This window comes from Homo sapiens, chromosome 4 (genome assembly GCF_000001405.40).
Source record: "Homo sapiens chromosome 4, GRCh38.p14 Primary Assembly".
Classification (NCBI taxonomy): domain Eukaryota; kingdom Metazoa; phylum Chordata; class Mammalia; order Primates; family Hominidae; genus Homo; species Homo sapiens.
In genome coordinates, this window is record NC_000004.12 from 1,982,723 (window position 1) to 2,010,410 (window position 27,688).

The following is a 27,688-nucleotide window of genomic DNA, read 5'->3' on the forward strand; positions in this document are numbered from 1 at the left end:
TTTCTTTAGAAAAGCTCGACTTTAATGGTTCAGATAGTTTTACAATGAAAATAGGTACCCAAAGACTGTCTTAAATGTCCACAACTATACAAAAGATGAATACAAAACTCCCAGGCAGGCACAGGCAGGGGACAAGGCCCACCGTCTCCCACGCTCTGGTGTGGTCGGGTGTCCCTGCCGCACCCCCAGTACCACCGTGCCACCTTGGTCCCCTCAACCCTGGGGGTAGGAGGGCACTGCCCCAGCGAGGGAAAATAGAAAAGATTTTAAAAAGTAAGAGTCTAACAGGCAGAGCTGTCACTAAAATTAGGAAGTTGTAACTTTTTTGGTTAATTTACTTACTACATTCAAAAATGTAACGTTGAGTCCAAAAAGTGTCTTAAATCACACAAAAAAGAACCCATATTAAAATTTTAAAAATAAGCCCCAAATACCCCAGAGAAATGCATCCAGAACTTAAAACAGGCTGGGTCAGCAGCAGGGCGGCGGCCGGGGGACCTCGGGGGCCAGGTGTCCGCCATCCGGTTACTTTAAGCTGGCAAAGCCATCGTCCCGTGGACCCCCACAAGTGACGGCCAGCTGTGAGGCAGGTGGTTCTAGGACACATTGGTCATGGGCTTGTACTTCTTGAAGCGCGTCCACTGGCCCGTGGCATAGTTCATCTCAAACACTGTGTCCACCAGCATGGTTGTGCTACCCTGGCCGTCCGCCTTGGGCAGGTCCTCCGTGTGCTCGCTCAGCTTGATCTGGATCACGTCCCCCTGCTCCTGGCACGGGTTCTCTGCAGAGAGCAGGAGCTGCTGGGTGGGTGTCTGGGGGCACCCGCCCCCAACCCGGCCCGGTGCACCCCCAGGCCCTGCCTTATGAACATACCTCGGGAGCCGGCCATGAAGCCCAGGATGAGGGCCTTCTCGGGCCGCGTGACTTTGTTGGCCGTCTTGAACATCTCCTGGGCAGCGAACATCTGCTCTCTCTACAGCGGGGAGAGGGGTGTGGGTGCCAGGGCCCCGCCAGGACCACCTCCTGCATCCCCCTGCAGGCACCGTGGCACCCCCACGCTAGGGGAGGTGGCCAGGGCCGTACCACCTACCTGGTGGCCTGTGGGCCCTACCAGTGTACACCTACCGTGAGGGACAGGTTCTTCTTAGGCTGCTGCTGAGCAGGGGCCTGGGTCTGCGGGGCCACCATGGCAACCGGGGGTGTCTGAGTGGTAGGGGCGACAGCCGGAGGTGTGGTGGGTGTCAGAGGCGAGGTGGGCGCCGCAGGCGTGGGTGTGGCAGGGCTCAGGCCGCTGTTGTACATGGGCGCCCGCTGCTTGAACTGCGCTGGCAACGTGGGGCTCGGGGCGCTGGGCTCCTCTGGTGGGCGGCTGGCTTCCCGGGAAGATGGGGCTGCAAGTAGACCGGGGCCTGGTGAGGGGGCTGGACCCCCACCCTGTTCCCAAACCCTAGTGCTCCTGGAGGTGACAGGCTCAGCTCCCCTTCTCTGTCCTGCTACCCTCTGACAAGAACTCCCTGTGGCCCCCAGCCAAGGCACAGGCCCCAGAAGCCCCAGCCAGAGGAACAAGGCCAGTGGTCTCAGGCCTTTCCAGACTCGCAGATAAGATGTCTGGACTCTGGCCAGCTGCTGGCCTGCAGCAGGTCCCCATACCGTAGGCACTGCTGGGAAGACAGGAAGGCTGTATCCTCAAGCCCCTTGGGCCCAGGACCTGGCCTGAGGTGCTGTGAGCCTGGCAGTGCCCTCCGTCTGGGAGGGGATGGCTCTCAGCTCCCCTCCCGCCTACCCAGCAACAAGAGCTGGGTCACCTGGCAGAAAACCCTTTCGAACCCAATCCCCTTCCTGCCGTGTCCCCTGGGGCCGCTGCCTGTCTGTGCCCAGGACGGGCAGGGTGGGGCAAAGCAGCTGGTTTATGTCTTGGAGCTCAAGCTGAACAGCGGGGCATCTGCCCCCAGCAGATTCTGGCTGAGGCAGAAGGGGGACAACAGAGATGCAGGAGTGAGAACCGCAGCCCTGGCAGCGCCCGTGGGCAAGGTCATGTCCTGGCAGGCAGCTTGGCTGGTTCCAGGCTGGGGCCAGCAGACTCACCTGGGGGCGTCTCGGAGCTGGGGATGTAGGAGGAGGCGGGAACCACGCTGGGCGTGGAGGGAAGGTAGCTCGTGGAGGGCAGCGCAGGCTCATTGTTCAGGGACCCAAGTTTCTGGAACACAGAGTTTAAGGTTCCTTCCAGAAGAGGCCATGCTTCCGGCATGTGCTAACACATGGCCCGACCCGGAGCTCCACTGCCACAGGCTGTGGCCCCCCGAGCTAGAGCAGGAAGGCGGGGGCCACTCTCCCGAGCTCCCTGGGCTAGACAACGGGACCCCTGGCCCCTGGCGCCCCAGCAGAGTTGGGGACTGAGCCGCTCCTGTGTAGGAGAGGGGAGGGGTTGAGGAGCCCAAACAGCCCATCTTGAGCACAGAAGGAGCGATGCTTTTTCTTACCACGAAGCGTTGATATAAAGGAAGATGCTCATGTTAAGAAACACAGAACACGCAGCGGCGGGAAGAAAGGAGCTTATTATCCTGAAGTGACCCCACAGTGTGGCCTCCTCCAGGCCCTGGCCTCAGACGACCCACTGCAGCCTCTGTGCACCTGCCGCGCCCCGTGGCTGCCTCCCACCCGCAGGCAGGGCCTGGTCTCCGGGACACTGAGGCCTCTGACCACCCAGCACCCCCACAGGCCTGTCCTGCACCCATTCACGGCCACGTGCAAGGCTTAGGTCCCACCAGCCCTGCCTGACGGGACACTGAGGCACAGGGTTGAGGAGGACTCCCCTGGCAGCCCCTCCAGCAAGCGTGGGGCAGGTTCCCGCTCCAAGCCTGAGTCAGATGCCCATGTCAGGGCACGGCCCACACTGCCTCTCATGTACATATACGTATATATACATAAATACAGACTGCACACATATGTACATACATATATATATTCTCCGACAGAGCACACTAGTGGCCACAATCGGAACAAAAGGGGCACCCGCAGTGGTGCCAGACATGGGGTGCAGCCCCGAGCCCTACCTGCGTGGACACCAGGCCGGCTGCGTAGTCCGGGGTGGCGTTCTCCACCACCGTTTCCTCCTTGGCCGGCTTCTCCACCACCTCCGCATCTGTGGACAAAACAGGAGTCCTCGCCAGTGCCCGGGCGCGTCTGCAGTGTCAGCTCAGGGCAGCGGCAGGGAATCAAACAGCTTCCCAGGGGAGGCCACCAAGGAGCGAGGAGAAAAGCAGGCACCCACCCACGGAGAGCAGCCTCACGGGGCACAGCCCTGCCCGCCGAGCGTGGGCACAACCCACCCCAACTGGGCAGGGCCCGCAGGGACCCCCATTGCCGCCGACACGCAGGCCCCAACCCCCACCGAGAGTCTTCCTTCTCCGCTTCGCCTCTCGGCCAGCGCCAACCATATCCAGCTCAGAGATGTCCAGCAGCTGCCAAGACAAGCACAGCCCTGCCTTAGTGACGGCACCAGGGCGCAACGGGCCCCGGGGTGCCACAGGAGCTGGGGGACGGGCCTACCTTCACACCTCGTTCCTTCCGCAGCAGCGTCCTGGAAGGCGGGATGGGGGTCCGGTTCCCTGTGGGGCTGAAGACGCTGGGCGCCGTGGGGCTTCTGAAGGGCGCCTGCTTCGGGATGCCTTTGAGTGGGGCTGGAGGACGGCAACAGTCAGGGCGCCAGCAGCAGTGACCGGCAAACGTCCCCCACCCCGAGCTCAGAACGTCCCACCCTCTTCTAGGCTAGCGCCGCAGAGGGGAAGGGCCAAACCCCTGGCGGGCAGCGGGCAGGACCCCCAGGATCCCGGACCTCAAGGAGCAGGGGAACGCCTGGAGCCACGACCTCACACTTTGCCAAGACACCAAACAAAGACAGCGGCACCCCAGCCCAGCCACAGGATCTCACCAGGTGGAGTCTCTCACCAGTGTGGCGGGGGCTGAGCTCTGCCTCCTTCCTGTGCCTCCACCGGCAGGGGCATGAAGCCAGGCGCCTGGGCTTGAGGGCCGCCCTCCCAAGCCTTCTCCCCGTCCCCTGAGGACACTCCTGAGGCCTACCTACGCTGTTACCCACCAGCGCCCACACGCACCCTCCAAGGCGTGCGTGGCTCTCATGGTGCCAGGCCCGGAGAGAGGACGCCCGGGGGATGGTGCCATCAGCACACCGGGCCAGGCTGGACACACTGCTCAACGGCTGGCCCACCCTCCCTGGGCCAGCAGGTGCAGCCCTGGCCCTGGGATGCCTGGTGGGGGTGGAAAGACAAGGGTCTGCTCCAGGCGGGGTAGAGGAGAGCAAGGTGGAACCTCGGCTGCGGTGGGCAGGAACATGACCCAGGGACGGCCCCCCACACAGCGACAATAGTCAGCAGACCCAAGATGCCTTCTACTAGGTCCCATGTGAACACTGTGGGATTATGGGAGCCCAAATAAACTAAGCCAGGCTGGTCTGGGAGCTGCATGGAGAGCGCCTGTAAGGCTGCCCTTTCAGCCCCACCCATCTGCAAGTTTACCCAGCTGTCTCAGCACAGGACGACACCCGTCCTGCCCTCTGGCCCCCAGGTCACTATCCAGCACCCTCTGGGGTGAGTATGCCCTGCCATGGTTCCCAGGGGCACGCCGTCTTCCTGTGATCAGGGTGCATCCTGCTTAAGCTCACGCCCAGCCCTGAGAGCACAAATCAGGAAGGGCAGATGGAGGGGTGCGGGGGGCACAGCCCCACGGGCAGCTGAGCACGGTCACGTCCTCCCCGCGGAGCCGCCCAGGGACACTCGGAACCCAAGAGCAGCACTTGGGGCCGAAAGCCCGAGCTGGGAAGGCCGAGAGCCACCGGTGCCAACAGCAGAGGAGCAGGGGCCAGCACTGTCCTCAGATCCCGGCCTTCCTGTCTCCATGCCCAGCGGTGTCCTCAGATCCCGGCCTTCCTGTCTCCGTGCCCAGCACTGTCCTCAGATCCCGGCCCTCCTGTCTCCGTGCCCACACATCCTCCCAGGGAGCTCCCCAAGGGGAGAAGCCGGTGAAATTGCCCCAGTGCCTTCGCTTTCCCACGGGCTCCCAACACTGCTGCCTGAAGACCATTCACAGGCACCACCTCCCCAACAGGGAGCGGGTCTCCAGGTGAAGCCCTTAGCTCTGCCCCAAAAGCAAGGCTCACGGCACCAGGGTGGGGGCCTTACTGGTGGTGTCCATCTTCCGCAGCAGCCCCCGGCCCTTGGCGTGGAAGGGCACCCCGGCGCTCCGCTTCAACTGCTGGGCGGTCTCCGTGGCTGGAAGGAAGAGGTCACATATGTCAGGGATCCTCAGAGCGAGAGCCCTTGGCCCTTGTAAAAACATCTCTGTCAAGTGGATTCATCCGACGGCCTGAGCCGTGAACGCTGCATTCTCTCTAAATGAGCAGCTGTTCCGAGCCGGGCCTGACACCAGCTCGCACTTTACAACGAGTCAGAAACTCACTCAGGTGAGCAAGTTTCGGGAGCTGGGTGGCTGTGGCTGCACCTCCCAGGACCCCATGGCAGGGGGGAGGCAGCCGAGGAGGAGCTGAGGGACCTCATGAGCCCTCTCCATCGACCCGGGCCTCCCCCTGGCCCAGTGGTAGCACCGTCCTCGCTGAGGGTCAGCAGGCACGGTCTAGATACAAAAATATGAGGAAGAAACAAACGAAGAGATATTCCTGACTTGGTTCAGTGTGGCTGAAGGGTCAGGGGACACCGAGTGCCCAAAGCAGACCCTGTGGCCACTGCTGGCCTCCAAAGGGGGTGGGGCCCAAGGGGCCAGCAGAGTCCTTCCTGGGCTACCCAGTGGGCCCGGGGCTGCACGGAGCCTCCCGGACAGCGCTGGGCCCTGGCTGCTGCCCGTTCCAGCCAAGATCCATGCACAGCTGCTGTCAGCCTTTTATTTGGATTCTCTGGAAACGGGGTATTGATGTACATTATAAATATTAATTCCATAACCATTCAAAATAAAACGATGTTATTGAAATCTTTGTCGTGCTTTGGGAAAACGTTAACTGAAATGATTAAATATCTTTCAAGTGGAATTGAGATCACCCGCCACTCCAGAAGGCAGCAACGTGAGAGTAAGGAACGTGCCCCTCCAGCCATTCACCCTGGCACCCACCGTGCCCAACAGCGTGACTCAGCTGGCACAGAGTTCATTTGGTCACAGAGATTAGAGATGCCTTCACCTAAAATTCTGAAGTTGGTGGGTTTTTTTTTTTTTTTTGAGATGTTGTTTCGCTCTTGTTGCCCAGGCTGGAGTGCAGTGGGGCAATCTTGGCTCACTGCAACCTCCGCCTCCCAGGTTCAAGTGATTCTCTTGCCTCAGCCTCCCAAGCAACTGGGATTACAGGCATGCACCACCACAGCCAGCTAATTTTTGTATTTTTAGTAGAGACGGGGTTTCACCATGTGGGCCAGGCTGGTCTCGATCTCCTGACCTCAGGTGATCTGCTGGCCTCAGCCTCCCAAAGTGCTGGGTTTACAGGTGTGAGCCACCATGCCCAGCCTAAATTCTGAAGTTTTTAAAGCATGTTTTCAGAACATAAAGTTTAATATAGTGATAAACTTCTAACAAAAAACTTTATGCAGAACTTTATCTTCTTTTTCTTGAGACAGGGTCTCACTCTCTCCCAGGCTGGAGTGTAGTGGTGTGATCACAGCTCACTGCAGCCTCAACCTCGTGGGCTCAGGTGATCCTCCTACCTCAGCCTTCCGAGTAGCTGGGAGCACAGGCACGCACCACCATGCCCGGCTAATGTTTTGGTACTTTTGGTAGAGATGGGGTTTCTTGGCTGGTCTCAAACTCCTGGGCTCAAACGACCCACCTGCCCCAGCCTCCCAACAGGTGTGAGCCACCATGCCTGGCCCAGAACGCCACCTTGAAGGGGCAGTCTTGGTACCTTAGAACCTAAGAAACCTATGACTGGAAACTACAAAGACAATGCCCGATGGCGGCCGCGGCCACTCACACTTCTGCAGCAGCTCCGCCCGCAGCGTGGCGCTCTTGGGTTTCCGCTTTAACTGAAAATGCTTCACCGGGGGAGTGAGGGGTCCCGCGAGGGTCGTCAGGGCGTTTTTGTTCAAGTACTGGCACTCCAGTGGCAGCATGGCAGACGCTTCACACTCACCCACTGCCGGTAAGAACCACATGAAGTTAGGGGCGCCCAGGCCGCAGACCTCCCGGCTGAGAGGAGCTGGCGGCTGCCCAGCCCCACACCCTCCTCAGTTAGGGTTAGGTCATGGGAGCTTCGGCTGTCCCCTGAGGTCCTCGAGACTGACTCCCCACGGCTCCAGCAGAACACCCAGGAGCATTTGCAGAACAGGAATGCCTGAGAGGCGGGCATGCCTTGAGAGGGCTGTAAACTGGAAACCTCTGGCACCGCGGACACCAAGAACCACAGGCGGACATAGATACAGTGATTCCTGGAGGGCTCCAGACACTTGTAGAACATGAAATGTTAACAGATCCCACCCCCACGTAAGAAGGACCCCCGATCTGTGGCTTCTCTCTTCCCGTCCCCGAGGGTAGCCAGGCTGGTGGTCTCTCCTGGAACCCTGGCCCTCATCCAAACTGCCCACATCCATTTCCTCAGCCTGTGTGCTCACCCACGGTTCAGATCCCAGAAACTGCCCCACGAGGGACAGGCGACCTCCCACCTGAACTGGCTACGTGCCCCACCTGGAGAAAAAGCACAGGCAGGCACATGAGAGTTCACCGGCCTCAGCCTTCCTGCCCGCGGGACACTCCTGAGACACGAACGGGTGGGGTGGGGTGGACCTGTCCAGACCACTGCTCCAGAGGCATCTGTGTGGTGTGTGTGACCTCACAGGTGGGGAGAGGTGCCACTTGCAGGGGGGTGGCCAGCAGGGCCCCTGCAGGAGTGTGCAGCCTCGATGTCTCCATCCCACAACCCTGTCTCTCTGGGTGCTGCCCTTGAAGGAGCTGGGGCACAACGTTTGGGCTCTGAGGAGCCAGTTCCAATTGTCCAAAGCAGGAGAGAAACTCAGAAAAGCACAAGCATCAAGCATCCCATCAAGACATGTTCTTCAAATCCATCTACAAATAGTTGTTTCTTTTAAGAGATACATTCTCACCCTGTTACCCAGGCTGGAGTGCAGTGGCGCGATCATGGCTCACTGCAGCCTTGGCCTCCCAGGCTCAAGTGATCCTCCTGACTCAGCCTCCCAAGTACCTGGGAGGACAGGCATGTGCCATCACGCCCACCTAATTTTTATTTTTTGTACAAATGGGTTCTTGCTATGTTTCCCAGGCTGGTCTCGAACTCCTGGGCTCAAGCAATCTGGCCATCTCAGCCTCCCAAAGTGCTGGGGTTACAGGAGTGAGCCACGGAGCCCAGCCTTGTGAATATTTTCTAAGTGACTTTCAGTTCACATTTAAACAACTAAATCGTTGATATTTTCAACATGCATTTCTGAGCATGTACTCTGGGCCAGGGAATGCTCTGGGCCCTAGAACCTAGGATCTACAGATACCACCTGAATGGGCAGAGCCCCTACCCTCACGGAGCCGACCAGAGAGAGACGGCGAGTGGCGTGACACAGCCTCCCACTGACACCGCAGCAGTGAGGATGGGGCCTGTGGGCTGTTTGGAGTTTGTTTTCAAAGATGGCAAAAGCCAGGCAGCAGCTTACGGGGGAGGATGGTGCATATACAGTTAATATTCTAGGGACCAGGACACACGGAAAAACGTAAAGGTCTAAAAATCAAATTCATTTCAGAAAAAAATTTTTCAAGAAAGATCCATTTCCCTCCACCCAACATGAATTAAAGCAGCACAACATACCCTTTTCTCTAAGTTCTCCCAAAATATCCTGAACGTTGGGATTCTGCTCCTCCAGCTCCAGGTTAAGCGAGCCTGTGTCCGGAAAGGACTTCAAGATGTCGGCGACCATGAGCACCCAGGGGTCCGAGTCGAGGCTGGCGAGCTGGATGATCTCCATTAGGGCGCCCTTCATCTGCAAAATAGGATGCTGCCGGCGCCACCATGCCCCTGCCCACTTCCAAGCCCACTCCCTGCTGAGCTTCCGGATGGGCACTGGGCAGTGGCCGGGCTCTCTGGCAGTTGCCCCCAACACTTCCTCCTGAGGGCTCCCCTTCCTCTGAGCCCCCCGCCTCACCCCAGGGCCACCTTGCTTCCCTGAGCAGCACAGCCTCTGCCAGGTTGCAAGGCCCCGGCATCCGGTGCCCTCCCAGCAGCCTCCCACCTCCCAGCAGCACCCAGTCCACTGGGCCTACTCTTCCACCGGTGCGCAGATGCAAGAAAACCTGAAGGGTGAGAAGCCGGGGCCACCACTGCTCCCGCAGAAAGCCTGCGGGTGGGAAATCCTGGGGATGAGGGGCGTAGAGCAGGCAGGTGCCCGGCACAGCAGAGCGCAGGAGCAGGGTGGAGTCACCTGCCGCGGGGGTGTGTGCCTGGGCAGCAGGGGGTGGGGCCTGGGACCTGGGGCAGCACCCGTGACAGCTGAGCTGGTGCCTAGTCACCATCTAGGCAGGGACGGCTGCCTCTGGGTCTGGACGGCGCTGGGAGTTGGCGCTCGTGGAGCCTGGAGGTGGCCCCGGGATCTGGAGTGAGGCCAGGGCCTTGGGGAGGCCATGGGCGACGTGCGTGGAGGAAGCAGGCGCACCCCGTGCTCCCTCAATACCTGGGAGGCCAGATCCATCCACACCAGGGCCTGCTTCGGCCACATAAACCCCCTCCCACGAGGAAACGCAGAGAGCCAGGCCATGGCGTGCCTGTGCCTCTGCCATGCGCCCACTGGGCTGCTCACAGTGTGAGACAGCTGGGCTGGCTGGCGCTGGGGGTGAACAACAGCGCCCTGCCCTGTCCAGACGCCGGGGCTGAAACCCCAGCCCCAGGCCTTCCTGACACCCACTCCCTGCGTCAGGCGCCAGAGACCCGTCCTACGAGGGCTGCGGCCATCACGTCCCCGCGAGCGCCGCCTCCTGGTGGCCTCTGAGTGGGAGGACCTTCCAGCGCTTCCCTCACTGTCCTCATGGGCTTCCTGCCCTGAGGGAAGTTGGCTCGAAGGGCAGAGATCAGAGGTCGTGCCAGGGGAGCCTGCCTGCTGCCAAGCCCCTCTGCATCTGCCCTGCAGGACACCCAGCTGCCCTCAGGAGTCAAGAACCCCCCGCGTGGCCCAGCCCCTTCTGTTCCTTGGGCAACCAGGGAGGGTGTCGCCCCGGCCGCTGACCCTGCGCCCCGGGCCCTCACTCCCGACGCCCGCCCGAGCTGAGTGCGCGATGCGGCAGAAGATGCTACGTGGCTGCAGGAAGCGCTGCGCACACGCTGCCTCTGGCAGCCGCACAGCCCGGCTGTTTCCAGCCAGTGCGGCCTCTCCACAGCAGCCCCAGGGAAACCCTACGCCTGCCAAGAGGCAAGCGCGCGGCATTTTATAAAAATGGTAAGGATAAAAAAAGTCGGGGATGTTAATTTAAAACAAAAAGGACCACTGTTGTGGAGTCAATGTTTTCTCTCCAGAACGCGCATGTTGAAGCCTGGCTCGCTCTACTGGGGCTTCTTGTAGGAAAACGCTTGGCTTTCCCGGGCGCGGTAGCTCATGTCTGTAGACCCCGCACTTCGGCCGGCAGAGGCGGGCGGCTCACGAGGTCAGGAGTTGGGGACCAGACTGACCCACATGGGGAAACCCTGTCTCTACTAAAAATACAAAATTAGCCGGGCGTGGTAGCGCATTCCTGTAATCCCAGCTACTTGGGAGGCTGAGGCAGGGGAATCGCTTGAACCCAGGAGGCGGAGGTTGCGTGAGCTGAGATCGCACCATTGCACTCCAACCTGGGCAACAAGAGCGAAACTCCATCTCAAAAAAAAAAAAGAAAGAAAGAAAGAAAAAGAAAAGAAAGAAAGAAAAAAGAAAATGCTTGGCTTACACACAACAGAAATTTACTTCTCACGGTTCTGGAGGTGGGAATCCAAGATCAATTAAGGCGCTGGTGGATTCCCCGCCTGGTGGGGGCCCCTTCCAGCTTCATGGAAGGTGCCTTTTGCTGGTGGAAGGTGGGAACGAGCTCCCCTGGGCCTTTTTTTTTTTTTTTTTTTGAGACAGAGTCTCGCTGTTGTCGTCGCCCGGGCTGGAGTGCAATGGCAGGATCTCGGCTCACTGCAACCTCCGCCTTCCCAGGTCCAGCGATTCTCCTGCCTCATGCTCCCACAGTGCTGGGAATCCAGGCGCCACCACCACGCCCGGCCCAGGCCTACCTTGTAAGGTCTGTAATTCTTAGAGAGCAGGGGCCCTAACTCATTTCTGTACTCTTCACTGAATAAACTATCACATCATTAAAATGTCTCTTCCTCTTCCCTGGTATAAAGAACTGCTGTTTACTAAGCTTTTCAGAGGAATAGGGCCGGGTATAGTGGCTCACGCCTGTGGTTCCAGCTACTCGGGAGGCTGAGGCAGGAGGATCACTTGAGCCCAGGGGTTCAAGGCTGCAGTGAACAAAGATGGCACTACTCCACTCCAGCCTGAGCAACAGAGCAAGATTTCATTTCTTAAAAAAATTAAAAATTGGCTGGGCACGGTGGCTCACGTCTGTAATCCCAGCACTCTGGGAGGCTAGGGCGGGTGGATCACTTGAGGTCAGGAGTTCGAGATCAGCCTGTCCAACATGGCGAAACCCCATCTCTACTGAAAATACAAAAATTAGCCAGGCATGGTGGTGCACTCCTGTAATCCCAGCTACTGGGGAAGGTGAGGCAGGAGAATTGCTTGAACTTGGGAGGCAGAGATTCTGGTGAGCCAAGATGGCGCCACTGTACTCCAGCCTGGGCAACAGAGCAAGAGTCTGTCAAAAAAAAAAAAGCCGGGCATGGTGGCTCACACCTGTAATCCTAGCATTTTGGGAGGCTGAGGTGGGCGGATCACAAGGTCAGGAGATTGAGACCATCCTGGCTAACACAGTGAAACCCTGCCTCTACTAAAAATACAAAAAATTAGGCGGGCGTGGTGGTGGGCACCTGTAGTCCCAGCTACTTGGGAGGCTGAGGCAGGAGAATGGCGTGAACCCGGGAGGTGGAGCTTGCAGTGAGCCGAGATTGCGTGCCCCAGCCTGGGCAACAGAGTGAGACTCCGTCTCAAAAAAAAAAAAAAAAATTAAAAATAAAAAGACACATTACAAAACCAGTGAACTGGTTGTAGAATTTCATTCAGAAACACAAGTTGTAGCAGATGCCATGCATAAGGTTAACCTTATGTGTCAACTTGACTGGGCCATGGGGCACCTGGACAGTTAGTCCCTCATGATTCCAGGTGTGTCTGTGAGGATGTTTCTACATAAGACTAACATCTGAATTGTACTGAGTGAGGCGAGGGCCCTCCCTACTGCTGAGTGGGTCTCATCCAATCAACTGAAAACCAAAGCAGAACAAAAATGCTGAGTAAGGGGAACTCCTGCCTGTTTGAGCTGGAAGATTGGTCTTTTCCAGCCTTCAGACTCTGGCTGAAACATCAGCTCTTCCTGGGTCTTGAGTCTCAGGGCTTACATCACTGGCTCTCCTGGTGTGTGTGCATGTATGTGTCTATATACCCTCTTGGTTCTGTTTCTCTGGAGAACCCTGACTGATACACTGTGGAACACATCCAGCCCAGTCATCTAGTCACCCTGTATCTATGGTCCTATGTAGAAAAGTTTAATTTTCAGAATGATATCCCTAAGATACCAGACCCCTAAATAAATGAAGGAAGAAAACTAAGATAAATTAGAATGTCTTATAAACCTTTTTTTAAATACCAAGAAAATAAAAATATTTTTCAGAAAAGTAAATGACCCAGAATGGCCTAGTCCTTTCACAATCCAGTTAAATGAGGTCTTTATCACAATTTCTTGTAATACATAAAGACAAAGTCCAAGAAACATACATATAAAATAAAGCTGGTACATTTATATTAATGTTAGATGGAAGCAGATTTTAAGAACAAAACATTACTAAATACAGAGAATCTCTATGTAAAGATCCAAGGTTGAGCTCACATGGTAACTATAACAACTATACACTTGGATGCACCTAATAACACAGCCCCAAAATATATACAGCATAAGCTGAGAAGGAGGAACAGACAAACCCATAATCCTAACGGGGAGATCAACAAATCCTCTTCTCACTGATTTTTTTTTTTTTTTTTAAACCAAGCTGCACGTGCCTGTAGTTCTAGATACTTGGGAGGCTGAGGAATTTGAGTCCAGCCCGGGCAACATAGTAAGACCCCACACCTTTAAAACAAAAAACAGTTAAGAATAGAATAGATTTGTACAACATGATTATACAAATTGGCCTAATGAACATCCACTGAGCAATGGATTTCAAAACTAGAGTACATATGATTCGCAAGCTTACTGGCAACATTTACAAAAACTGACCATACATTTTGCCATTAAGCAGATCTTAAATTTCAAACGACTAAAATAAACCATATTCTCTGACAAGAGCTCAATACAGCTAGAAATTAATAATAAAAACAAAACTATCTTCCCCTCCAATGTAGGGAAATTATGAAACATTTCTAAATTACACAGGGATCAGTGAAGAACTTACTGAAATTAAAAAATAGTGTGACGATACAGTTCTGTGACTATCAAAACTTGTGGGATGCGGCTTACACTGTAATTAGAAGAGAATTTATGGACATACGCACATACACACACGAAAAGAAGCCTGAGATTGGCATCCATCTTTAAAACTTAGAAAAAGAGCAACAAAGTAAGTACAAAGACAGGAGAAAGAAAATTAGTGAAACAGAAATCCAAGTTCAACAAAGCCAGAAGCTGGTAGTTTGAAAATTCTTATAAAATCAACAAACATCTGGTGAGATGGATCAAGGGGGAAAAAATAAGAAATAATCACTATACATGCTTCTGACATTTAAAAAGAAGATGTTTGAGCTGGTCATATTGGCTCATGCCTGTAATCCCAGCAATTTGGTCAACCAAGGCATGTGGATCACTTGAGGTCAGGAGCTTGAGACCAGACTGGCCAACGTGGCAAAAACCTGTCTCTACTAAAAATACAAAAATTAGCCGGGAATGGTGGCACACGCCTGTGATCCCAGCTACTCAGAAGGCTGAGGCACGATAATCACTTGAGTCTGGAAGGTGGAGGTTGCAGTGAGCCAAGATTGCACCATTGCACTCCAGCCTCGATGACAGAAGGGTATTTGAGACACTCTCTCTACAAAAAATTTAAAAAAAAAGAAAAGTAGGCAGGTATGGTGGTGCATGCCTGCAGTCTTAGCTGCTCAGGAAGGTGAGGCAGGAGATCACTTGAGCTTAGGAGTTTAAGGTTACAGTGAGTTATGATCACATCACTGCCACTCCAGCCTGAGTGACAGTGACACTATGCATTAAAACAAACAAAAAAAACAAAACCCATAAAAACAAAAATCAATACTGAAAAATCCTCCCACAAAGTAAATTTCAGGTCCAGAAGGCTTCATTACCAAGTTCTACCAAATATTTAGGAAGAAATCACTCCATTAGTAAACAAACTTTCCAAAGAAAAAGAAAAGACCAGATACATTACAAATCCTTTTTTAAGGGTAGCATAACCCCAATACCAAAATCCAACAAAGACAGTCTGGGTAAGTAAAACTACAGGTCAATCTCACCCAAGAACAAAGATATAGTACAAAATTCCTATACAAAACATCAGGATGATATAATCTAACAACATAAAATGACCAATTTAGGTTTACCGCAGGAATGCAAGGTTGGTTTATAATTAAAGCTATTTTGTTAATGTGGTGAATTACATGTCAATAGATATTTAAGCATTTGATAAAATTTAAAGTTCCTTTGTGCTCACACCCACTAGGATCGCTATATCAAAAAGATAACAAATGTTGGCAAGGATGTGAGAGACTGAACACTCGAAAATCACTATGGAGAAAGTAAGATGGTGTAGCCACTATGGAAAATAGTTTGGCAATTTCTCAAAATGTTAAATATAGAATAACCTGGGCAGCCCAGACAAGTGGTTTCCCCCCACTGAAGCACACTCCCTCCATCATGGGACAAAGTGCTTCATTAAATGGGTCCTGCTCCCTATGTCACCCAACTAGGTGAGACCCTCCAACAGGGGTTGTCAGACACCCTATACAGCAGTGACCCTACTGGCATCAGGTTGGTGCCCCTCGAGATCAGAGGTCCCAGAAGAAGGAGCAGGCACCCATCTTTGCTGTTCTGCAGCCTCCTTTAGTGACACCTCCAGGCATGGGAGTGAATCAGATGAATATGGCCTGAAGTGAACCCCCAGCAAACTGCAGCAGCCCTACAGAAGAGGGACATGACTACGGCAAGGAAAACAAACGAGCAGAAAACGACAACAGCATCAACAACAACAACAACAACCACAACAAAAGCCCCCATCCAAGGGTCAGCAGCCTCAAAGACTGAAACTAGACAAACTCACGAAGATGAGAAAGAATCAACGAAAAAATGCTGAAAACCCCAAAGGCCAGAGTGCCTCTTCTCCTCCAAATGATCACAATGTCTCTCCAAAAAGGGCGCAGAACTAGACGGAGGATTGGATGGACGAGCTGACAGAAGTAGGCTTCAGAAGATGGGTAATAAAAAAAAAAACAATGATGAACTAAAGGAGCATGTTCTATCCCAATGCAAAGAAGCTAAGAACCTTGATAAAAGGTCAGAGGAATTGCTAACTAGAATAACCGGTTTAGAGAGGAACATAAATGACCTGATGAAGCTGAAAAACACAGCACCAGAACCTCATGAGTCATCCGCAAGTATTAACAGCCGAATCCACAAAGCGGAACAAAGGATATCAGAGTTTGAACACCACCTTACTGAAATAAGACATGCAGACAACAATAGAGAGAAAAGAATGAAAAGGAACGAACAAAGCCTCCAAAAAACACGGGATTTCATAAAAAGACCAAACCTACTACTGACTGGAGTACCAGAAGGAGACGGGGAGAATGGAAACAAGCTGGAAAACACACTTAAGGATATTATCCAGAACTTCCTCAACCTAGAGACAGGCCAACATGCAAATTTGGGAAATACAGAGAACCCCACTAAGACACTCCATGAGAAGATCAACCCCAAGACACATAATCATCAAATTCTCCAAGGTCGAAATGAAGGAAAAACTGTTCAGAGCAGCCAGAGAGAAAGGCCAGGTCACCTACAAAGGGAAGCCCATCAGACTAACTAATGGCAGACCTCTGCAGAAACTCTACAAGCCAGAAGAGTTTGGGGGCCAATATTCAACATTCTTAAAGAAAAGAATTTTCAACCCAGAATTTAATATCCAGCCAAACTAAGCTTCATAAGTGAAGGAGAAATAAAATCTTTTTCAGACAAGCAAATGCTGAGGGATTTTGTTACCACCAGCCCCGCCCCGGAAGAACTCTGGAAAGAAGCACTAAATATGGAAAGAAAAACCAGTACGAGCCACTGAAAAAACACACCAAAATATAGAGACCAATGACATTACAAAGAAACTGCATCTAGTGTGCAAAATAACCAGATACCATCATGATTACAGGACCGAATTCACACATAACAATATTAACCTTCAATGTAAATGGGCTGAATGCCCCAATTAAAAGACACAGACTGGCAAATTGGATAAGGAGTCAAGACCCATTGGTGTGCTGTATGCAGAAGACTCATCTTACACGCAAAGACACACACAGGCTCAGAATAACGGGATGGAGGAAACTTCAAGCAAATGGAAAGCAAACAAAAAGACAGGGGTTGCAATCCTAGTTTCTGACAAAACAGACTTTAAACCAACAAAGATCAAAGAAGACAAGAAGGGTATTACACAATGGTAAAGGGAACAATTCGACAAGAGCTAACTATCCTAAATATATATGCACCCAATACAGGAGCACCCAGATTCATAAAACAAGTTCCTACAGACCTACAACGAGACTTAGACTCCCACACAATAATAGGGGGAGACTTTAACACCCCACTGTCAATATTAGATCAACGAGACAGAAAACTAACAAGGATATTCAGGATTTGAACTCAACTCTGGATCAAGTGGACCTAGTAGACATCTACAGAACTCTCTACCTCAAATCAACAGAATATACATTCTTCTCAGTGCTACGTGGCACTTACTCTAAAATCGACCATGTAATTAACTGGAAGTCAGCAAATGCAAAAGAACTGAAATCATAACAGTCTCTCAGACCACAGTGCAAATTAGAACTCAAGATTAAGAAACTCACTCAAAACCACACAATTTCATGGAAATTGAACAACCTGCTCCTGAATGACTCCTGGACAAATAATGAAATTAAGGCAGAAATCAAGAATTTCTTTGAAACCAATGAGAACAAAGAGACAATGTAGCAGAATCTCTGGGACACAGCTAAAGCAGTGTTAAGAGGGAAATTTATAGCATTAAATGCCCATATCAGAAAGCTAGAAAGATCTCAATTAAAAGACCCAGAGATGTAATTAACATCACAATTAAAAGACCCAGAGAGGCAAGAGAGCAAACTAACCCCAAAGCTAACAGAAAACAAGAAATAACTAAGATCAGACAAGAATTAAAGGACATAGAGACACGAAAAACCCTCCCCCCCAAAAAATATCAACAAATCCAGGAGCTGGTTTTGTGAAAAAATTAACAAAATAGACAGAATGCTAGCTAGACTAATAAAGAAGAGAGAGAAGAATCAAATAGACACCAAATAATAATAATGATAATAATAAAGATGCTATCACAACTGACCCCACAGAAATACAAACTACCATCAGAGAATACTATAAACACCTCTACACAAATAAACTAGAAAATCTAGAAGAAATGGATAAATTCCTGGGTGCATACACCCTCCCAAGACTAAACCAGGAAGAAGTCGAATCCCTGACTAGACCAATAACAAGCTCTGAAAATGAGGCAGTAACAACCTACCAACCAAAAGAAGCCCAGGACCAGACGGACTCACAGCTGAATTCCACCAGAAATACAAAGAGGAGCTGGCACCATTCCTTCTGAAACTATTCCAAACAATTGAAAAGGAGGGACTCCTCCCTAACTCATTTTATGAGGCCAACATCATCCTGATACCAAAACTGGGAAGAGACAACAAAAAAGAAAACTTCAGGCCAACATCCCTGATGAACATCAATGTGAAAATCCTCAATAAAATACTGGCAAACCGAATCCAGCAGCACATCAAAAAGCTTATCCACCACGATCAAGTGGCTTCATCCCTGGGATGCAAGGCTGGTTCAACATACGCAAATCAACAAGCATAATCTATCACATAAACAGAACCAAAGACAAAAACCACATGATCATCTCAACAGATGCAGAAAAGGCCTTTGATAAAATTCAACATCCCTGCATGTTAAAAACTCTCAATAAGCTAGGTATTAATGGAACGTATCTCAAAATATTAAGAGTTATTTAAGACAAACCCACAGCGAATACCATATTGAATGGGCAAAAGCTGGAAGCATTCTCTTTGAAAACTGGTACAAGATAATAAGGATGTCCTCTCTCACCACTCCTATTCAACATAGTATTGGAAGTTCTGGCCAGGGCAATTAGGCAAGAGAAAGAAATAAAGAGTATTCAAATAGGAAGAGAGGAAGTCAAGTTGTCTCTGTTTGCAGATGACATGATTTTATATTTAGAAAACCCCATCAACTCAGCCCAAAAACTTGTTGAACTGATAAGCAACTTCAGCAAAGTCCGAGAATACAAAATCAATGTGATTTTAATAGGCAAGCAGAGAGCCAAATCATGAATGAACTCCCATTCAAAATCACTAGAGAATAAAATACCTAGGAATACAGCTAACAAGGGATGTGAAGGACCTCTTCAAAGAGAACTACAAACCACTGTTGAAGAAAATAAGAGAGGGGCCGGGTGCAGTGGCTCACGCCTGTAATCCCAGCACTTTGGGAGGCTGAGGCAGGCAGATTACCTGAGGTCAGGAGTTTGAGACCAGCCTGGCCAACGTGGTTAAACCCCATCTCTACTAAAAATACACAAATTAGCCGGGCGTGGTGGCACAAGCCTGTAATCCCAGCTACTCGGGAGGCTGAGGCAGGAGAACTGCTTGAGCAAGGGAGGCGGAGGTTGCAGTGAGCCGAGATCGTGCCACTGCACTCCAGCCTGGCCGACAGAGCGAGACTCTGTCTCAAAAGAAAAAAAAAAAGGCCAGGCACGGTGGCTCATGCCTGTAATCCTAGCACTTTGGGAGGCCGAGGCGGACGGATCATGAGGTCAGGAGATCGAGACCATCCTGGCTAACACGGTGAAACCCTGTCTCTACTAAAAATACAAAAAATTAGCCAGGCATGGTGGCGGGCGCCTGTAGTCCCAGCTACTAGGGAGGCTGACGCAGGAGAATGGCGTGAACCCGGGAGGCGGAGCTTGCAATGAGCCAAGATCGCGCCACTGCACTCCAGCCTGGGCGACAAAGCGAGACTCCATCTCAGAAAAAAAAAGAAAAAACAGAAAATAAGAGAGTACACAAACAAATGGAAAAGCATTCCATCCTCGTGGATAGGAAGAATCAGTATCATGAAAATGGCCATACTGCTCAAAGTAACTTACAGATTCAATGCTATTCCCAACAAACTACCATTGACATTCTTCACAGAATTAGAAAAAACTATTTTAAATTTCATATGGAATCAAAGAAGATCCCATATAGCCAAGACAATCCTAAGCAAAAAGAACAAAGCTGGAGGCATCACGCTACCTGACTTCAAACTACACTTACAAGGCTACAGTAACCAAAACAGCATGGTACTGGTACCACAACAGACCTACAGACCAATGGAGAAGAACAGGGACCTCAGAAATAACACCACACATCTACCAGCATCTGATCTTTGACAAACCTGACAAAAACAAGCGATGGGGAAAGGATCTTCTATTCAGTAAATGGTGCTGGGAAAACTGGCTAGCCATATGTAGAAAACTGAAACTGGACCTCTTCCTTACACCTCATACAAAAATTAACTCAAGATGCATTAAAAACTTAAATGTAAAACCCAAAACCATAAAAATCCTAGAAGAAAACCTAGGCAATACCATTCAGGACACAGTCACGGCCAACAACTTCATGACAAAAATGCCAAAAGCAATAGCAACAAAAGCCAAAATTGACAAATGGGATCTAATTAAACTAAAGAGCTTCTGCTCAGCAAAAGAAACTATCATCAGAGTGAAGAGGCAACCTACAGAATGGGAGAAAATTTTTGCAATCTACTCATCTGACAAAGGGCTAATATCCAGCATTTACAAGGAACTTAAACATATTTGTAAGAGAAAAACAACCCCATCAAAAAGTGGGCAAAGGAGGTGAACAGATACCTCTCAAAAGAAGACATTTATGAGGCCAATAAACATGAAGAAAAGCTCTACGTCACTGATCATCAGAGAAATGCAAATCAAAACCACAATGAGATACCATCTCACGCCAGTCAGAAGGGTGATTACTAAAAAGTCAGGAAACAATAGATGCTAGCGAGGCTGTGGAGAAATAGGAAGGCTTTTACACTTTTGCTGGGAGTGTAAATTAGTTCAACCATTGTGGAAGACAGCATGGCGATTCCTCAAGGATCTAACACCAGAAATACCATTTGACCCAGCAATCCTGTTACTGGATATATACCCAAAGGAATATAAATCATTCTGCTATAAAGACACACGTACAGGTATGTTTACTGCAGCACTGCTTAGAATAGCAAGGACATGGAACCAACCCAAATGCCCATCAATGATGGACTGGATAAAGAAAATGTGATACATATACACCATGGAATACTACGCAGCCATAAAAAGGAATGAGATCCTGTCCTTTGCAGGGACATGGATGAAGCTGGAAGCCATCATCCTCAGCAAACTAACAAAGGAACAGAAAACCAAACATTGCATGTTCTCACTCATAAGTGGCAGGTAGTTGAACACTGAGAACACATGCACACAGAGAGGGGAACAACACACACCAGGGCCTAATAGGGGTGGGAGTGAGGGGAGGGAACTTAAAGGACGGGTCAATAGGTGCAGCAAACCATGGCACACGTATACCTATGTAACAAATCTGCATGTTCTGCATATGCATCCTTTTTTTTTTTTTTTTTTTAAAGAAGAAATAAAGGCCGGGAGCAGTGGCTCATGCCTGTAATCCCAGCACTTTGGGAGGCCAAGGCAGGTGGATCACAAGGTCAAGAGATGGAGACCATCCTGGCCAACACGGTGAAACCCCGTCTCCACTAAAAATACAAAAATTAGCTAATTAGCTGGGCATGGTGGCGCGTGTCTCTAGTCCCAGCTACTCGGGAGGCTGAGGCAGGAGAATCCCTTGAACCTGGGAGGCGCAGGTTGTGGTGAGCCGAGATCGCGCCACTGCACTCCAGCCTGGCGACAGGGCAAGACTCTGTTTCAAAAAAAAGAAAAAAAAAGAAGAAGAAGAAAAAAGAAAACATTACATTAAGTGAAAGAAGTCAGGCACAAAAGACCAGATGTATGATTCTATTTATATAAAATATCCTGAATAGACAAATCTATAGAAGCAAAAAGTAGATTACTAGTCACCTAGGAGTGGGGAGGAAGAGGACTGGGCAAATGCTAATGAGTGTAGGATTTATTTGGGGGATGATGAAAATGTTTGAAAATTGACTAGCATGACCATCAAACCTGTAAATATACTAAAAACTACTGAAGTGTACATTTTAAATGGTGAACTACCTGGCATAATTATATGGTACATAAAATAATATCTTTTTTCTTTTGAGACAGGGTCTCATTCTGTCGGCCAGGCTAGAGTGCAGTGATGCAATCATGGCTCGCCGCATCCTCAACCTCCCAGGCTCAAGTGATCCTCTCGCCACAGCCTCCCAAGTAGCTGGGACCACAGCCATGTGCCGCCACCCCTGGCTAATTTTTATATTTTTTATGGAGACAGGGTTTCACCATATTGCTCAGGCTGATCTCGAATGCCTGGGTTCAAGCAATCCGCCCATCTTGGCCTCCCAAAGTGCTGAGATTACAGGCATGAGCTACTGCACCCAGCTATACATTATATTTTAATAAAGCTTTTTTTTTTTTTTTGGAGACAGAGTCTTGCTGTCGCCCAGGCTGGAGTGCAGTGGCGCGATCTCAGCTCACTGCAAGCTCTGCCTCCTGGGTTCACGGCATTCTTCTGCTTCAGCCTCCCTAGTAGCTGGGACTACAGGCGCCTGCCACCATGCCCGGCTAATTTTTTTGTATTTTTTCTTTAGAGACGGGGTTTCACCATGTTAGCCAGGATGGTCTCGATCTCCTGGCCTCGTGATCCGCCCGCCTCGGCCTCCCAAAGTGCTGGGATTACAGGTGTGAGCTACTGCACCCAGCCAATAAAGCTATTTTAAAAAAATTCATGATTAAAAGATTTTTTTTTACAAGTCTTCTAAGAAGAGAATTTCCTTAACTAGATAAAGGGTATTTATTAAAGACAACAGGAAACATAATGCTCACTGGCAAAACATTCCGAGTTCTCCCTGTGTGATCGGAGGTAAGACAATGAGCTGGAGGGTCCTAGCCAGTCCAGTGAGACGAGAAAAAAAACAAAAGGTAATTGGAGAAAGAAAAATAATATGAAGTGCACAGAAAAATCAAGGAGATTCTATAGAAAAAAAAAATTTTGCAACTAGCAAAACTTTAGCACAGATACTAGTCACAAATTCATTATCCAAAAATCAGGCTGGGCATAGTGGCTCACCTGAGGTCAGGAGTTCGAGAGCAGCCTGGCCAACATGGTGAAACCCCATCTCTACTAAAAATACAAAAATTAGCCAGGTGTGGTGGTGCATGCCTGTAATCCCAGTTACTCGGGAAGCTAAGGTAGGAGAATCACCTGAGCTCAGGAGGAGGAGGTTGCAGTGAGCTGAGATCGCGCCACTGCTCTCCAGCCTGGGTGAGAGAGTGAGATCTCCGTCTAAAAAACAAACAAACAAACAAACAAACAAAAACAAAAATCAACGCATTTCTATATACCAGCAACAAGTAAAAACTAAGACTTTAACAGATACCATTTACAACGGCATGGAAAAATATGAAATAGGTGGTAATATATGAGATGGAAGACCCCTACAGAGATCACAAAGAACATCTAAATAGATAAGCCCACACCCACAAATTATAGGATGCAATATAAAGAGGACAGCACCCCAGAATGAACTGCAAGTTCAGCTCAGCCTTAAAATCCCAGCAGGCAGGCTCTACGTGTTTAAGAAGTAAGTATATAAGATACATGTGGAAGTGTGAAGGGACAAGAATAGCCATAGATGATCCCGGAGAAAGATACAGTGGGAGGGTTTGCTCCGTCCGCTAACAAGGCTTATAAATAAAGTGACAAGAACCGACTTAGTGGGTTATTAGCACATCGATATGTAAATGACCAAAAGAACAGAGCACAGCCCAGAAACACATCCACAGCAGAAGCTGCAGTGCAGATCAATGGAAAAGGACAGTCATTTCAATCAACGTTGGGTGCTGGACTAATTGCACATCCATGTGGAAAATTAGACTCCCTGCTTCACACAATCATCAATTCCACGCAGACTGAAGATTCAAGTGCGAAAGGTAAAACTGTACAGCTACGCCAAGATAACCCAGGGAGTGTTCCGGGCATGTCCCTCGGGGAGACACAATAGGCACCAATGATAGTGGGCGGATGAATACACCATCTATGTTAAAACTAGGAGCTTCTATTCATCCATGATTCCAGGAAAAGGGCTGGGCGCACAGATCACACCTGTAATCCCAACACTATGGGAGGCCAAGGCAGGAGGATCACTTGAGGCTAGGAGTTCAAGACCAGCCTGGGCAATACAGTAAGACCCCCATCTCCATACACATGCACAAAAATTAGCCAGGCGTGGTGGCAGCGCATCAGTCCCAGCTACTACAGAGGTTTAGGAGGGAGGACTGCTTAAGCCCAGGAGTTCAAGGTTAAAGTGAGCTATGATTATACCACTAGACTCTAGCCTGGGTGACAGAGTGAGACGCTGTCTCAAAAAAAAAAAAAAAAAAAAAAAAAAGGATTCCAGGAAGCTAAGTCAAAGTCAAAGGACAACTGGGAGATATTTGTAACTGAAAAAGGACTGATATCTAGCATTTATAATAAATAATAAAAAAGACACTCTTACAAAACAATGGGAAAAAAGAGAATTTAAAAGCAGATTTGAATATACAATTCTCAAAGCAGAAAACCAAACAGCAGGCCGAGTGCCATGGCTCACACCTGTAATCCCAGCCCTTCAGGAGGCTGAGGCAAGCAGATTGCTTGAGGTCAGGAGTTCAAGACCAGCCTGGGCAGCATGGTGAAACCCTGTAGTCCCAGCTACTCAGGAGGCTGAGATGGGAAGATCTGAGGTGAGGAGGTCAAGGCTGCAGTGAGTCACGATGGTGCCACTGCACTCCAGCCTGGTTGACAGCGCCAGACCCTGTCTCAAACAAAACACAAACACAAAAACAAAACACTCTGAAAAATAATTTGGCATGATCCTATGATCCTCACAATTCCACTCCTAGATGTTATACCCTAGAGAAATCCAAGATTCCAAACACCTGAACATATGACCGTAATGTAGTAACGGGATGATTTACAAGAGCACAAAAGCTAAGCGTGTCACTGTGGCAGAATGGATAAAGTGCCTCGTGCTCACAGACAGGAATACCACGCAGCAGTGAAAATTAAACTGCAGTCAGCTGCAACGTGGATGAAACTGTCACGGCGTCGACCAAAAAGACACATGCACGCCACACACAAAATACACTATGATACCATCACACTAACTCCAAATCCGGCAACCAAGCTGTGCCATTTAGGGGTGCATAAATAATTGCTCACACCGGGGAGATGGCACAGAAATGATTACCTTTCCAAAATGAGGAAGGGGAAAGGAAGAAGGCCGTGATTACCAGTGGGAGGCTTCCAAGGAACAGGCATGGTTCTACTTCTCCACCTGTGTAAGGATCACAGGAGTGGCTCGCGATGCTATTATTATTCGTTAAACTGAACAAAAATGCACTTTTCCATACATGTCATATCTCAATCAAAAGCAATTACAACCTATAATAGCTAATAATACATCAGTAGCCAGGAACGTTTAAACAACCATGGGGCTTCAATAGTCTGCAAAACTACTCGGTTTATTTCGCACGGAAAGCGATACAATATAAAGTTTAGGAAAAAAGAAAACAAACCTCACACACCCACTTATTGGAATGACGCAAAACGGCGTGTAGAAAAGAGTAAAACGGACACAGAGCGCTCCGGACGGCCGGGGTCTTTGCGAGGTGAGAACAAGAAAATCCAGTCAGCGGACACTGGAGCTACCGAGCCCAGGCCGCCCCTTCCTCACGCGGGGGTTTCTCTCGGGATCCCCGCCCTCGCCCAGGTCACCAGGGCTGCGTCCCCGACGGGAAACCCCGATGGGAGACCCCGCTGGGGCCGGCGCACCCCCGCTCCAAGAGTCGGTCGCTTCGGCACGGTGGGGGATTAGGGTGGTGAGGACCGAAGGCGGGGGAGGCGGGGGCGGGTGGGGATGAGTACCCGGGGGCCCAGGGAGGGGAGTGAGGACCTGGGGGTCGTAGCGAGAACCCGGGGCCCGGCGGGGAGGAGATTGAGGATCCCAGGGGAGGTGAAAACTTGGGTAGGGGTGAGGACGAAAAGTAGGGAGGTGAGGACCCTAGTGGGGGATTCCCAGGGGGCGAGGAGGGGCGGGGGGTCCTGAAGACCCACGGTGGGGATGAGAACCGAGGTGGGAGATGAGGATCGAGGCGGGGGATGAGGACCCAGGGGGAGGTGAGGACTGGAGGGAGGTATTCGGAGGAGCGAGGAGGGGGCGTGAGGGCGGGCCGGGGGGGTTAACAGTCTGAAGGGGGATGGGAAGGTTGGGGGAGGGAGCGAGGAGGGTCCGGAGTTGGGTGTGCGGGTCGGAGGTGGGAAGGTTGGGAATCTGGGGGCCGCGGGGCGCCACGCCTGCCTTACCTCGTCCACCGTGCGGCGCGGGAGGTGCAGCGTCCCGAGTAGCAACTTGAGCTTCACTGCCGACGAGAGGCCATGGAAGCAGAGACGGATGTTGTCGATGACCGCGGCCGTGAGCAGGGACGCGATGCTGGGCGGCGCCCACAGCTCGTCCGTGGCCCCCAGCTTGTTGTGCAGCCACAGGCCCGTGTCGCTCTCCCGCATGGACGCCATCTTGGGGGAAAGCGCGCGCCGCTGCCCCGGCATCTTATGAAGACACCTACGCGTCCCTCGCTAGGACCCCAACATGGCGGCGCCCGTCGGGCTGCGGGCCGCAGAGGCGGCGCAGGTGGCGCGGTCCCACGAGCGGGGCTTCCCGGGAGAGCGCTTCTGGGTGGCGACCGCGTCTCCGGGTAGCGGCCGCGTCTTCGGGAAGCTTTGTGGCAAAGCCGAGAGCCGGAAGGACGGGGTGCCGCTGAGCAAGGACTATCGGCTTCCGTAAAACATCATGGCGGCGCCCTCTGCTGGCTCTCGGGAAGACCGCAAAAAATGACGTCACGAGCAGGCGCGCGTATTCGCGTCTTGGGAGCCCGGGCTGCGGCCTGGCATTCGCAGTGCAGGTGTCAAGCGCCGCAGACTTGCTGCTCGCGCGGTGGGGCGGAGGCTCCCTGTGGCACCTGCCCCGCTGTCCGCTCTTCGCTTTTTCCCCGCTTGGGTCTCGGCGCGGACCGTGTGGACGCCCCGCCCCCGCGGGCCCAGCACCTGCACGGAGAGGAGCCGCGGCCCTGCGGAGCGAGCCTGCGGGATCCCGGTCGCAGCGCTGAGCTTCCGTCCCCCGCTGAGCCCGCTCTGCCCGTGGCGCGCCGCCGACGGGGCTGCGCTGAGCATGCGGGTCGGAGGGCGCTCGGGAGCTGTCCAGGGGCACTCGTGACCCCACAGTGCAGGGAGGCCCCGGCCCCCAGTCGGGCTGGAGCCGCCAGGCAGGAGCCAGTAGTGAACTTTTCAGTTTTAAAAGCTTGTCATTAGATACAAACATGAGTAAAAGTTAAACTTCATTTTATTAAATTCGTTTTACCCTTTTGTCTTTTTGACGAGGCCTTCCTATGTTGGCCAGGCTGGTCTCAAACTCCTGGGCTCAAGCGATCCGCCCGCCCGCCTCTGCCTCCCAGAGTGCTGGGGTTACAGGTCGGGGCCGCCTTGCTTGGCTTCTGTATTATATCTTTTTTTTAAAAGATCTTTTCCTTATTGTTCCACTGCCATGCTCCTGCCGCCGTTCACAGCTATTGCCACTGGGCGGTGGGAACGCCGGGAGAACAGGGCTCAGCCCAGCTGCTAGCAGTGCCCTGGCCCTGGCGGCTTGAACTTGGCAGTCCTGCGGAAGTCACACGGGGGAAACCCGCAAATGCTACAAATCAGTGCTGGAGCGGTGGTTTTGTTGATTGCTTAAACTGAAGAAAGTGATAGAGAAAATGTTGATGATAAAGATTAAACTTAAAACTGTCATGTCGACAACCGTTACATTGCAAATAGCACATAAAATTTAAGAGAATATTTTTTAAATGATTCAAAAGTGTCGAATTCAGCAAAGACAAGTTATTGACTAATGGGTGAAGTTGTGACATCAGTGGGGCTAGTGCTGAAAGAAGTTTAATGATTAGGCCGGTCACGGTGGCTCACGCCTGTAA

At 51.2% G+C, this 27,688-nt stretch overlaps 2 protein-coding genes and 1 non-coding gene across 4 annotated transcripts in view, besides 6 other annotated features; all 3 read right to left on the minus strand.

Annotated features, from left to right (window-relative positions):
* NELFA (negative elongation factor complex member A) lies at window positions 1-26,252 on the minus strand. 2 transcript variants are annotated; one of them, XM_017008589.3, is made up of 12 exons: window positions 26,028-26,252; window positions 25,241-25,324; window positions 8,822-8,993; window positions 6,986-7,147; window positions 5,196-5,285; window positions 3,550-3,680; window positions 3,392-3,461; window positions 3,054-3,142; window positions 2,086-2,197; window positions 1,126-1,391; window positions 874-973; window positions 1-781 (listed from the first exon to the last, which is right to left on the minus strand). In XM_017008589.3, exons 1-12 carry the CDS (start codon window positions 26,235-26,237, stop codon window positions 597-599), a joined length of 1,671 nt encoding a protein of 556 aa, XP_016864078.2. In that variant the 5' UTR covers window positions 26,238-26,252; the 3' UTR covers window positions 1-596. The 2 variants fall into 2 exon arrangements, with proteins under 2 accessions (XP_016864078.2, NP_005654.4); NM_005663.5 differs by lacking the exon at window positions 25,241-25,324.
* MIR943 (microRNA 943) lies at window positions 3,662-3,755 on the minus strand. The gene has a single exon (NR_030641.1). It is a non-coding gene; the product is annotated as a microRNA 943 (primary transcript).
* Window positions 9,086-9,925: an enhancer, noted in NCBI's record as "H3K27ac-H3K4me1 hESC enhancer chr4:1993535-1994374 (GRCh37/hg19 assembly coordinates)". NCBI's record gives its function as "activates a minimal SCP1, AML or CMV promoter by ChIP-STARR-seq in primed H9 embryonic stem cells {active_cell/tissue: H9 hESC(primed)}" and the evidence as "EXISTENCE:reporter gene assay evidence [ECO:0000049][PMID:30033119]".
* Window positions 15,298-15,797: an enhancer, noted in NCBI's record as "H3K4me1 hESC enhancer chr4:1999747-2000246 (GRCh37/hg19 assembly coordinates)". NCBI's record gives its function as "activates a minimal SCP1, AML or CMV promoter by ChIP-STARR-seq in naive and primed H9 embryonic stem cells {active_cell/tissue: H9 hESC(naive and primed)}" and the evidence as "EXISTENCE:reporter gene assay evidence [ECO:0000049][PMID:30033119]".
* Window positions 25,935-26,435: an enhancer, noted in NCBI's record as "H3K27ac hESC enhancer chr4:2010384-2010884 (GRCh37/hg19 assembly coordinates)". NCBI's record gives its function as "activates a minimal SCP1, AML or CMV promoter by ChIP-STARR-seq in primed H9 embryonic stem cells {active_cell/tissue: H9 hESC(primed)}" and the evidence as "EXISTENCE:reporter gene assay evidence [ECO:0000049][PMID:30033119]".
* Window positions 25,935-26,562: a biological region, named in NCBI's record as "H3K27ac hESC enhancer GRCh37_chr4:2010384-2010884".
* Window positions 26,043-26,562: an enhancer, noted in NCBI's record as "active region_21163". NCBI's record gives its function as "activates an Ori minimal core promoter by ATAC-STARR-seq in GM12878 lymphoblastoid cells {active_cell/tissue: GM12878}" and the evidence as "EXISTENCE:reporter gene assay evidence [ECO:0000049][PMID:35858748]".
* The window catches only part of LOC124900839 (uncharacterized), a 32,909-nt gene continuing 31,504 nt past the window's right edge, over window positions 26,284-27,688 (minus strand). Inside the window, exon 4 of the mRNA XM_047416543.1 lies at window positions 26,284-27,451. Within this exon, the coding sequence (XP_047272499.1) occupies window positions 26,284-27,039 (756 nt within the window). The 5' untranslated portion in view covers window positions 27,040-27,451. The remainder of the gene's footprint in view (window positions 27,452-27,688) is intronic.
* Window positions 26,623-27,002: a silencer, noted in NCBI's record as "silent region_15152". NCBI's record gives its function as "represses an Ori minimal core promoter by ATAC-STARR-seq in GM12878 lymphoblastoid cells {active_cell/tissue: GM12878}" and the evidence as "EXISTENCE:reporter gene assay evidence [ECO:0000049][PMID:35858748]".

Coding starts and splice junctions, on each gene's coding strand:
- NELFA (XM_017008589.3), bottom strand. CDS start 26,237: ATGGCGTCCATGCGGGAGAGCGACACGGGCCTGTGGCTGCACAACAAG. Junction 7,148..8,821: donor GGGAGAACTTAGAGAAAAGG/GTATGTTGTGCT, acceptor TCTTACCGGCAG/TGGGTGAGTGTGAAGCGTCT. Junction 1,392..2,085: donor CAGCTCCGAGACGCCCCCAG/GTGAGTCTGCTG, acceptor GTCTACTTGCAG/CCCCATCTTCCCGGGAAGCC.